The 12,872-nt window shown below is 34.7% G+C and overlaps 3 annotated features.

The window, feature by feature from the left end:
• Nucleotides 11,991–12,090: an enhancer, noted in NCBI's record as "active region_6193". NCBI's record gives its function as "activates an Ori minimal core promoter by ATAC-STARR-seq in GM12878 lymphoblastoid cells {active_cell/tissue: GM12878}" and the evidence as "EXISTENCE:reporter gene assay evidence [ECO:0000049][PMID:35858748]".
• Nucleotides 11,991–12,596: a biological region, named in NCBI's record as "H3K4me1 hESC enhancer GRCh37_chr12:33673977-33674537".
• Nucleotides 12,036–12,596: an enhancer, noted in NCBI's record as "H3K4me1 hESC enhancer chr12:33673977-33674537 (GRCh37/hg19 assembly coordinates)". NCBI's record gives its function as "activates a minimal SCP1, AML or CMV promoter by ChIP-STARR-seq in primed H9 embryonic stem cells {active_cell/tissue: H9 hESC(primed)}" and the evidence as "EXISTENCE:reporter gene assay evidence [ECO:0000049][PMID:30033119]".

Raw genomic sequence — 12,872 nt, forward strand, 5'->3', positions numbered from 1 at the left:
CCAAAAAGACAAAGTATCTATACACTGAAAACTATAAAACACTGACGAAAGAAATTAATGAAGACACAAATAAATGACATGATATCTTGTGTTCATGGTTTGGAAGAATTAATGTTGTTAAATGTTCATACTACCCAGTGTATCTACAAATTCATTGTAGATCTGTTGAAATTCCAATGGCATTTTTCAAGAATTAAAAAAAAAATTCTAAAATTTATATGAAATCAATACAGATTATCAATAGCCAAAGCAATTAGCTTCAGAAAGAGCAAAGCTGGAGGCATTTATACTTCTTAATTTCAAATTATATTACAAACTGATAGTAATTAAAATAGTATGGTACTTACATAAAAACAGGCATGTACACCAAGAGAGAATAATAGAAAGCATGTAAATAAACCTACTCATATATAGTCAACTAATTTTGATAAGGGCTCCAAGAATATACAATGGAGAAAGGATAGTTTCTTCAATAAATGGTGTTAGGAAAGCTGGATATCCACATGCAAAATAATAAAATTAGACAATTATAACAAATACAAATATCAACTCAAAGTGTATTAAAGACTTAAACATAAGACCTGAAACCATAAAATCCCTAGAAGAAAACTTAAGGAAAATCTCCTTGACAATGGTTTTGGCAATGATTCCTGGCTATAAGAGCAAAGGTATGGGCAACAAAAGCAAAAATAAACATGTGGGATTATATCAACCTGAAAAGTTCTGCACGGCAATGATAACAATCAACAAAATGAAAGGCAACCTATGGAATGGGAGAAAATAGTTTCCAAGCATATATATAATAAGGGTTTAAAATCCAAAATATAGAAGGAACACGTATGACTGAATAGCAAAAAACAAAACAAAACAAAACAAAAAACCCACCACCAGAACAAAAATCATGTAAACAGACTAAAAAATGGGCAAAGAATTTGAATAGGCATTTATTCAAGGAAAATATACAAATACCTACAGGTATATGAAAAGGTGCTCAATATAATTAATCATCAGGGAAATGCAAATTAAATTCACAATGAGATATCACCTTACAGTTGTTAGAATAGGTACTACTTTAAAAAAGATAAGTTTTGGCAAGGATTTGGAGAAACCGTATGGAGTTTCCTCAAGAAGTTAAAAATAGAACTACCATATGATCCAGCAATCCCAATTCTGGGTACATAGTCAAAGAAAATAAAATCACTTTCTCGAAGAGACATCTGCACTCCTATGTCCATTGCAGCATCATTCACAATAGCCAAGATATAGTATCAACCTAAGTGTCTATCAAAGGATGAATGTATAAAGTATGGTATGTACATATAATGCAATATTTTTCAGCCTTAGAAAAGAAAAAAATTCCTGCTATTTTCCATAACATGGATGAACCTAGAAGACATTATGCTAAGTGAAATAAGCCAGTGATAGAAAGACAAATATTGTGCGATCTCATATGTGGAATCTAAAATAGTCAAACTCATAGAAGCAGAAACAGATAATAATATGGTGGTTGCCAGTGGCTTGGGGGAGTAGGAAAGAGGGAGGTAATGTTTAATAGATACCAAGTTTCAGTTATACAAGTACGTTCTGGAGATCTGCCATACAGCATAGTACTTATAGCTAACAATACCGAATGTTATACTTAAAATCTCTAAGAGGGTAGATCTTAACGTTAAACGCTCTAACCAAAACAAAACAACAACAATAACAATAACAAAGGGCATAGTGGAAACTTTGGGAGGTGATGGATATGTTTATGGCCTTGATGGAGGTGATGGTTTCATGGGGTATACTTTTTCTCAAATTCATCAAGATGTATATGTTAAAAACATACAGCTTTTATATGTCAATGATTTCTCAATTAGGTGGTTTTTAACAAACACCCTTCTGGAGTTTCAATAGCAGTTTTAAAATTTTAATGATGCATCAAACAAAGAATAAGTGTATAATATATTTTGAGCAGAAACAGCACAATTTCTTTTCTTCTTGGCATATACAGCAGACTTTCTAAGACTAACAAGGAGCAGACACACAGAAAGATCATAGAAGTATAAAGTATAATCTTCTACATCAACCTCAAGAAATACTGTTTCATCTAAAACTGGTAAGATCACCTTGATATTCAGCTTTAATAACCTGCACAATTCCTTTTAAAGCAAGTGGATATGTAATTAAGGTGGAATTGTTGAAGGGGTCACGAAAGACAACATTAAGGAGCTTGTTAAACAAATCTTGTCTCTATGAGAACTGAATTTCTATATTTGTGTGAATTTAGGATGTTATATCTTATTCATCATTGTTTCATTAATAACTTTATTTATGTGTTCACTTATTTCCTCAATAAGAGTTTATTGATCACCTAACAAGTGGTATATTCAGTTTGGTAAATGATAACTAGAATTGGTGATCCACATTTAGGTCTACCACAACACGTGACATCTGAGAAATTACCATTTCATCCATAAAATAGGGATGTGGATAAAGGAGGTTTGAACTTTGGTGATCTATGAAGCCTCTTCTGATTCTGTAAATCCATCTTTGTTACATATTTGTACAAGATAATCTGACCTCCTGTTATTTACAGCTTAATAAAAAGATTAAAAAAGGACATATTATGTTAAAAAGACAAGACAAATAATTTTTAAAAATATTAATCAAAGGTTAAAACAATTCATTTCATAAGCAAAGGTGTTTGAATGCAGAGTCAGGCAGTACATTCAGGGATCTTTGGGGACAACGTAATAGATTTTCAAGTCTGGAATCTTGATCATGAGTGTCCCCGTGACCCACCCTAACCAAAATCAAGAGTAGCTACAAATGAGATTTTATGTTTACTAACATCTGGTTTCATGGCCTAATGCATCCAAGTCAATGAAATCAAATAGCCTGAAAGTAAGTCAAAATTCTGTAAATCACCTTACTCATTTTGGCCATCTAGATTTCTGGCTGACCAATCTCACAGATATATCTCTTAAGATATATCAATAAATACTACTAAGGAACACTCATATCTTGTGGATGCATTTATATTTTTTCCCTATCTTTGCTCTATTCAGTAGTATAAAATTTAGAGTATGTGTCACTAAATACAATATTAGTCATTAGTCATGTATGTTCAATAACTTGTGCTGGAGAAGATGTGAAGTCTTTTTTTTCTTTTGAACTTTCATTTTAGGTTTGGGGGTACATGTGAAATTTTGTTACATAGGTAAATTAATGTCACAGGGTTTGTTGTACAGATTATTTCATCACCCAGGAATTAAGCCCATTACCCAACAAGTATCTTTTCTGTTCCTCTCCTCCTCTCCCTGATCCCACCCTCCACCCCCAAGTAGATCCCAGTGTCTGTTGTTTCCCTCTTTGTGTTCATAAGTTCTTACCATTTAGCTCCCACTTATAAGTGAGAACATGTGGTATTTGGTTTTCTGTTCCTGTATTAGTTTGCTGAGAATAATAACCTCCAGTTCCATCCATGTTTCTGCAAAAAAAAAAGTGATATCATTCTCTTTATGCCTGTATAGTATTCCATGGTTTATATGTAACACATTTTCTTTATCCAATCTGTCATTGATGGGCATTTAGGTTGATTCCACATCCTTGCTATTTTGAACTGTGCTGCAATGAACATTTGCATGCAAGTGTCTTTATGGTAGAATGATTTATATTCTATGTGTGTATATACCTCTGGGTATATACACAGTAATGGGATTGCTGGGTATATACCAACAATGGTAGTTGCTGCTTTTAGCTCTTTGAGAATCACATACTGCTTTCCATAATGTCTGAAATAATTTACACTCCCACCAACAGTGTAGAAGTGTTCCCTTTTCTCCACAACCTTACCAGAGTCTGTTATTTTTTGACTTTTTAATGATAGCCATTCTGACTGGTGTGAGATGGTTTCTCATTGTGGTTTTGATTTACATTTCTCTAATGATCAGTGATATTTAGCTTTTTCATATGCTTGTTGACAGCATGAATGTCTTCTTTTGAGAAGTGTCTGTTCATGTCCTTTACACACTATTTAATTGGATTGTTTGTTTTTCTCTTGTAAATTTGTTTAATTTCCTTATAGATGCTGCATATTAGGCCTTTGTCAGATGCAGAGTTTGCAAATATTTTCTCCCATTTGGTAGGTTGTCTGTCTACCCTATTGGTCATTTCTTTTGCTGTGCAGAATCTCTTAAGTTTAATTAGATCCCACATGTCAATTTTTGCTTTTGCTATGATTGCTTTTGGTGTATTTGTCATGAAATCTTTTCCTGTTCCTATGTTGATATGGTTTGGCTCTGTGTCTCCACCCATATTTCATCTTGTAGTTCCCATAATTCCCACGTGTTGTGGGAGGGACACGGTGGAAGATGTTTGGATCACGCGGGCGGGTCTTTCCTGTGCTGTTCTCCTGATAGTAAATGGGTCTCATGAGACATGATGGTTTTAAAAACAGGAGTTGCCCAGCACAAGCTCTCTTTTTTTGCCTACTGCCATCCATATAAGACATGACTTGCTCCTCCTTGCCTTGTGCCATGATTGTGAGGCTTCCTCAGCCACGTGGAGCTGTGAGTCCAATTGAAACTCTTTCTTTTGTAAATTGTCCAGTCTTGGGTATGTCTTTATCAGCAGCATGGAAACAGACTAATACATATGTCCACAATGGTATTGCCTAGTTTGTCTTCCAGGATTTTTGTAGTTTTGGGTTTTATGTTTAACTCTTTAATCCATCTTGAGTTGATTTTTGTATATGGTGTAGGGAAGGAGTCCAGCTTCGGTCTTCTGCATATGGCTGGCCAGTTATCCCCGCACCATTTATTGAATAGGAAGTCTTTTCCCCATTGCTTGTTTTTGTCAGCTTTGTCGAAGATTCAGTGTTTGTAGGTGTGCAGCCTTATTTCTGGCTTCTGTATTCTGTTCCCTTGGTCTATGCACCTGTTTTGTACCAGTACCATGGTGTTTTGGTTACTGTAGCCCTGGGGTATATTTTGAAGTTGGATAATGTCATGCATACAGCTTTGTTCTTTTTGCTGAGGATTGCCTTGGCTATTGGGCTCTTTTGTGGTTCTATATGAATTTTAAAATAGTTATTTTCTAGTTCTGTGAAGAATGTCATTCGTAGTTATATAGGAATAGCATTGAATTTGTAAATTGTTTTGGGTAATATGGCCATTCTAATAACATTGATTCTTCCTATCCATGAGCATGGAATGTTTTTCCATTTGTTTGTGTCATCTCTGAATTCTTTGAGCATTGTTTTGCAGTTCTCATTGTAGAGAACTTTCACCTTCCTGGGTAGCTGTATTCCTAGTTTTTTTTTTTCTTTTTGTAACAATTGTGAATGGTATTGCCTTTCTGATTTGGCCTTCGGCTTGGCTATTGTTGTTGTATAGGAATGCTAGTAATTTTTGCACATTGCTTATGTATTCTCAAACTTTGCTGAAGTTAACTTGTACAGTATACAAAACCTGTTTGCAAGTGATAATATTACTTGAAACTTTTACAAGTTTGACATTACTGTAATTGTTCTGGTTATTTTTGTACTGGTTTATTGCTTGGGACATTAAGATAAATGAACTATGTTCTTTTCTTAATTAAAATTGCCAAAATTTTAGACTTTAAAAGCTTTGTATCATAAATTATTCAGTTTTAGAAGTATATGATGGAAACTAATATAATCAGGATAACATAATCATATTTATTATACCTCGAAGACTTTCCCCTAGGTTTTTATGATGTTAAAACATTTATTGATTAAATTATAGAAAGTTGAGTTGTTATACAGTCAAATATATTTTCACATATATACCCTGGACTATATAAGCTTTTAATTGAATAATTTTGATAATATATACACAATATGTTAACCACATTGGTACACATCAGTATAGATGGTTAAAATTTTCCTTTATTACTATTTCCGCAAGTTCATTTGGCCTTTATAGCCAAGAAATGTTTGTCATATTTTTAGTGATTGGTTAAATATTATCTCTGTGCTCCAAATCCACCTTTTTATCTTCTCTCCTCTCCTTTGGAGCAGGAACTGCAAATCCTATTATTCAGATTCATTGACTAGAGGGCTTCTGCCAGTAGGAGGCACTAGGTTTGTGGGTCTTAACCTTGGCTGCATAGTGGAATCATTTGGAGCTTTTAAGACTATTATTGCTTAATTTTTATGTCCACAAATTCAGATTTCATTGTTTGCAAGTGTGGAGTGGGCATCAGGGTTTTAAATATTAAGTGATTCTAATGAGCAGCTAAATTAAGAATCGTTACACTACATATAGGGTCACAGTCAGGGAGAGAGTCTTCCCTCTTATTTTTGATCATCCTTTACCACACCTGAGCGGCAGCAATCACTGCAGGAGTGGCAGTTGGCTTCTGTTTTCAGCCATTTTATGTGCACTTCTAGAATCACTCTCATTCTGCCCCCTCAAAGGCACCAGTAAAAGCTGGATGGTGCTGCTAACCCTTCCTCAGAGGCCTGTGAACTCCCCTTCAAGCTCTTAAGGTACTAGTAGCAACCAAGATGCTTCTTTCCTTTGAAAACCTAAGCTCTTACTTTGCAGAGCCTCACTTCCGATCTCCTAATTTCTGAGAAACCAAATCTTTTATTTTTATTCCACCGACTTCGGGGTGGTAGCTGATACGTACAGTGAGCACCGCCTTTTCGTCTTATAACACTCCAAAACTTGTGTAATCTATTTTCTGTATCAAAATTTCTTTTGTGGAAATGTTGGATGTTGTCTGTTTTCCAGACTTGGCCCACCTGTAGCTGAACTACGCCAGTGCCATGGCTCTAATTGTTGTAGGTTAAATTGGAAACCGAAAGATATTAACATGTGTCCTTGGATTACTCAATTAAAATCATGGGGAAATTTTCTCCAGCTTTTGAATGAGGACCTATGAAAGGAGAGCTGAAGAAAACAGAGAGGCAAGATTTGTATAAACCCTAGGGGACATGGGTGAGGTGGCAGTGAGATGTGCATAGATGCAACCCTATCTCAGAATATAACTATGATGATATTTATGTATGGTGGGTATATATCAAGAGGCTCTGCCCAGAGATGAAAATTTCCACTGACTAAAAAGAGCCTCAAATTACTTCAAAATGGATCATTTAAATAAATCACATTGCTACCATGGTCAGAAATTCAATATAAACAATGGAAATATAAGCTATTGGTATAAATCTGCCTTTTATAAAAAGTAAGCACATTTTTGAAAGTTAAACTTAAAAAAATACTTACTTAAATATCCCACTTTCTGATTGTTTGTAATATTCTGTTTAAGATGTAATAAAGTCAATAAAATTTAAAACAGGAAAAACATCATGTCTGTTCCAGAACCACATGTCCTAGGGAGCACAATCACTCTTGCCTTTCCGTTTTTAAACCATGTTCTCAGAGTGAAGAACAGAAACCTATGTTACGTGAATGTGAAGACAAATGAGACTCTGAACTTGCCTATATTTCTTCAAGTTACACACAACAAGGCCTTCTATTGCCATTTCATCCTTAAGAAGCAGCTCATTTGTTGTCACTGGCTAATTAGTGTAACCATTTAAGAATTATTTCATTTCTTGCAGAATTGGAGCCAGTGGAAGTTAAGAAGATTGGGAGAGGGAGAATAGGGATTGGATGTTAGCTGGAATATAGCTCATAGGTCATATAAATCAGGGAAGAATAGGGAAAATGGGAAGCGTGGCCCCAGGAAAGTATCGGGACCTTCCAAATATACTTTGACCTAATTTAACTTTGGCCTAAGGTACATTGAATCTACTTCAAATTGTAGGCTTTTGGGAAACTTAGATACTAGGCAGTTGTATAAGAAGGAGACTATCTGGGCTTAGTAGAAGAAATGGGGGTTGTAATAAATTATTTGAGTAGTTCACCTCTAAAAATTAGAATAAATGCATCATCTTTGTTACTAATCTTTAAAGTTAGATTTTGGCTGTGGTGACTAAATCATGTCTAAATTTTCGGGGAAGATGTACATTCTCAGAAAGATTACCTGGCTGTCACTTAACGTTAGCTATCCTTATATGTATATTCTTATATATGTATATATGTATTCTTATACACATATGTAAGAATATTTATATAACATTAAAAGTATTTATATAACATTAGCAATATTAGAATCTCTCTAGAGAGAGAGAGAGATTTCCATCTCTATCATTATCTATCTATCTACCTGTCATCTGCGGATATAACTGAAATTCAAAATGAGAAACTTCATCTTAGAACTTGATTTTAATTTAAAGCACCTAGTATTGCTTAGTATGGTATGTGACTGATTAACAAAAATGATAATGTATTATCATTTACAATTTTGCTTTTAAAAGAACAATGAGGTTGTTTAAGAAAGGGATTGCAATTAAGAATACTATATTAAGACTTGCCTTTAGGGAAATAATTTGACAATATTTAAAATATTCTAATTTAGACATCATATATATGTTATGTATTAAATAAATCAAAACAAGGTTACATATATTTTCCATATGGGAAATTTCAATGCAATTATTTTACTATTTCTTTTCTATGCATGAATATTTAGAATTCATACAGAGACTCACTGGAGCATTCAAATGTGATGAGAACATTTTCTGGTTTTTTTCCCCCCTTTTTGTTCATTAAAACCTTAATATGGCTGTAAGACAAGGATTGGTATCCTTGATTGCTAAATCAACATAAAATTACCTCTTTCAAGAGAATGGGTAATAGTATCCATTATATGATAGTATTGTGGTTGGGAAATTAATGAGAGGTGTTTAACTTTTTAAAACAGTTACAGTTATATTGTTGCCCAAGAGCCCTCTGAGGTGGGTATGGCAGATATTAATGAAGTCCACCTTGCTTTATAGCATGAAATGCTGGAGACATTTTCCAGTTAGACGCAGAGCTAAATAAAGCACATACATGTGCCTATTTTCCACATGAAACATCAGAATTTACTTTTTTTTTACATAGCCACCAAAATAAAAATATGCAGTATAGAATAATTTGACAAAAACAATTCATTAAAATAAACATTAATACTAATGGATTGAAAGAACAGCCACTAAAACTATACAAGCTTAAAAGGGCAAATTTCTAAAAGGAAAATAATTTAAAAGTAATTTGTAGTTGTTTATTTTTTGAAAAATGTACATCACTGAAAATTTTATGCAAGTGAGTAACAATACATGAAGACATCAAATTCTTTTAGAGAAGAAGATAATACAATAAATAAGTAAAACCTATCTATTAGGTGGTGACAGTACTTCTTATAAGATAAATGCAACCTCCTTCCTAATAAAATTTTCTAAGGCACTAGCATTATTCTTGGGATTAATAATAAAACAAGACCTTAGTTTAAAGGTCATAATTGATTAAAGTTGTAATTGATTAAAAGTAATGGCAAAACCCGCCATTACTTTTGCACCAACCTAATATTTCAAATGCATTTTACCACTGTACATTTAGTAAAGAGGAACTTCATTTTAGTTCTGAGCAGAGAGCATTGGAATAGATTATGAAACAAAATAATTTAATGGAAAGAAGTAATCAACACATGGAAAAAGTTTATTTTAGAATGTCCTGCATTTTAAATAAGACAAATATAAATGGACAACTGGTAAACTTGTCAATAATTTTTGTTAGTATTTCGCACTATAATGACTTTGTGGAAATTTCTGTTTCTGTTGCAACCCTCAAGATATCTCTTTTATTCTTTCACAGCATGATAAAAAGAGCCTATTATAATTTGGTGACAAAGTCACTTATTTATATGGATTAGGAATCTAGATATAGTAACAAATTTAACACCTCTTTAATAAACTTAGTCTTTCTGTCTCTACACATAATAAATGGATTTTCCAGGACATGGAAACTGATTTTTTTTCCATACAAGATTATTAAAATACGTATGATATGGAAACATTCTATTGTTTTTGCCATAAGCTAAATGATAAAGATAAAACTCTGTGATATCATTACACTTAATAGAATTAGAATATTTCTAATATTTTTAATAACAAGTTTTAAGAGTATTCAATAAAGCAGTTAACTTTTTCTCTTTAGCAAGACACTTATAATAGTTACATAGTATAATTTTGAGATAAAATTTCTTTTAAAGACTTCAGTTTCAGATTAAGACAAAAGGCATGAGTGTCAGAAAGACAACCAAAACAAGAATACTAAGTAATTGTTGTGAATTTCTTACCTTTTAGTGAACATATTTTAAATGAATGCAAGCTGTATGAGGATTTTAATTATTTAATTTTTGTAGCAGTCTTCATCAAATATAAGAATTAGTAATCTTGGGAAGTAATAACTTACAGTAAACATTTTAGTATAGTTTCTTATCCATTCTTGGAATATCACTGATGAAATGATACCTGAATTCTAATTTTTACTTATGTTGTAACATCAGTGTATATTTCATAATTTATTGTCCTTCAGTGGGGAAAGAACAGTTTTGATGCTCTCAGTACTTGAAAAGGCGGTATTTATAAATGCAGAATGATGACTCATATAGTTAATTAAATCAAAGTTCTTTATACATTCGAAATTCAAGAAGACAAATTTCCCTGTTGAAGAAATGATCCAATTTATGCAAAATGTACAGCATGAAAAAGTATGCAGCAACAGGTTTTAAATGTTATTTTTGCTTTGTGTGATAGATGTACCATGATGAAAATAGAACAAAATATAATATTAAGCCAAGTTGCTCACATATTTCTTACTTTATCCCATGGGAACACATTGCTATCTGGGTAGCAAGTAGAAGAGTCAGAGCAGAAGAGACAAATTTTTTCAAAAGTTCCTGGTTCTAGGCCAACACCAACCCAAAATTAACCACAATTATAGAAGAAAAAACATTCATAATCATGATCTGCTAAGACTGAAAGGAGATGTTTCTGGCACTTTGAGATACTGTAGAAATAAAGGATCAGAGATGTCCTTGAAATTTACAATTGCATTGGAAATTATTGAGTCAGACAAGATGATATCCTGTCAATTTTAATGTTTCTAACATTGGCTAAGTCGAGTTACAATTATTCTCTCCTATACAAGTAATATTTCAAATCTCATTGGGTCTGAATAGTTGTTAGCAATATTGTTTATGTTCATTTCCCTATTTGTTCAGATATTTTATTTGGTGCAGGACATTTTAATGCCTTTACAATATTTTGTGCAAGAAAATAATGTTCACTTTTTCACTTTTATAATTGTGGAACTAAGGCACAGAAATCTTAAGTAATAGAACAAAAACCAGTGATAAATCAGTAACAGACTCGAACTAGTTAGCTCCTTTGTTTCCTAACTTTAGTGACAAAAAGAAAAAATTCTGTAGAAGCAATGGAGGTGCAATGATATTCAACACAGACCACTCTGTTGTTGCTTTAAAAATTTTAACTTTCCCTGTGATTGAGTTACATAAGAAATGACTCGGGGTTATTCATGTAGTAGGGCTACACCTCAGGCTTATAGAAATCTTTTTTCTTTTTATATCTCCTGCACAGATAACCATGTCAAAATCTTTAAAAGAATGTAGCAATGGCTGGAAAGAAGTTTTTACTTGTTCTCATTTCTAGCTTTGCTTTCTTCCTTCCCAGCTCAATACACAGAAAGAAAATGCTTGGCTAGGCCCATGAACTCTAAGTTGTCTTCAAAACATAGAGCAACACAGGAAAAAAAAAAGAAAAAAAAACCAAACCAAACCAAACCAAAACCAAAACCAAAACGAGTTGGAGAAGAGAGTAAGAAACATTAAAAAATTTTTCTGAGCTCCAGTCTGCAGCTCCCAGCATGATTGATGCAGAAGATGGGTGATTTCTGCATTTCCAACTGAGGTACCTGGTTCATCCCACTAGGACTGGTTGGACAGTGGATGCAGCCCACGGAGGGCGAGCTGAAGCAGGGCAGGGTGTCGCCTCACCTGGGAAGTGCAAGGGGTTGGGGGATTTCCCTTTCCTAGCCAAGGGAAGCCATGACAGACTACCTGGAAAAACGGGTCACTCCCGCCCAAATACTGTGCTTTGCCCAAAGTCTTAGCAACCGGCAGACAAGGTGATTCTCTCCCCTGCTTGGCTCAGCGGGTCCCACGCTGACAGAGCCTTGCTCACTGCTAGTGCAGCAGTCTGAAATCGATATGTGAGGCTGCAGCCTGGCTGGGGGAGGGGCGTCCACCATTGCTGAGGCTTGAGTAGGTAAACAAAGCAGCTGGGAAGCTCGAACTGGGTGGAGCCTACCACAGCTCAACAAGTCCTACTGCCTCTAGACTCCACCTCAGTGGGCAGGGCATAGCTGAACAAAAGGCAGCAGAAAACTTCTGCAGACTTAAACATCCCTGTCTGACAGCTCTGAAGAGAGCAGTGGTTCTCCCAGCACGGCGTTTGAGCTCTGAGAATAGACAGACTGCCTCCTCAAGTGGGTCCCTGACCCCTGTGTAGCCTAACTAGGAGACACTTCCCAGTAGGGGCCGACAGACACCTCATATAGGTGGCTGACCCTCTGGGATGAAGCTTCCAGAGGAAGGATCAGGTAGTAGTATTTGCTGTTCGGCAATATTTGCTGTTCTACAGCCTCTGCTGGTGATAACCAGGCAAACGGTCTGGAGTGGAACTTCAGCAAACTCCAACAGACCTGCAGCTGGGAGACCTGACTGTCAGAAGGAAAACTAACAAACAGAAAGGAATAGCATCAACATCAACAAAAAGGTCATCTACACCAAAACCCCATCTGTAGGTCACCAACATCAAAGACCAAAGGTAAATAAAACCACAAAGATGGGGAGAAACCAGAGCAGAAAAGCTGAAAGTTCTAAAAATCAGAGTGCCTCTTCTCCTCCGAAGGATTGCAGCTCCTTGCCAACAACGGAACAAAGCTGGACAG

Source organism: Homo sapiens, chromosome 12 (genome assembly GCF_000001405.40).
Source record: "Homo sapiens chromosome 12, GRCh38.p14 Primary Assembly".
Taxonomy (NCBI): domain Eukaryota; kingdom Metazoa; phylum Chordata; class Mammalia; order Primates; family Hominidae; genus Homo; species Homo sapiens.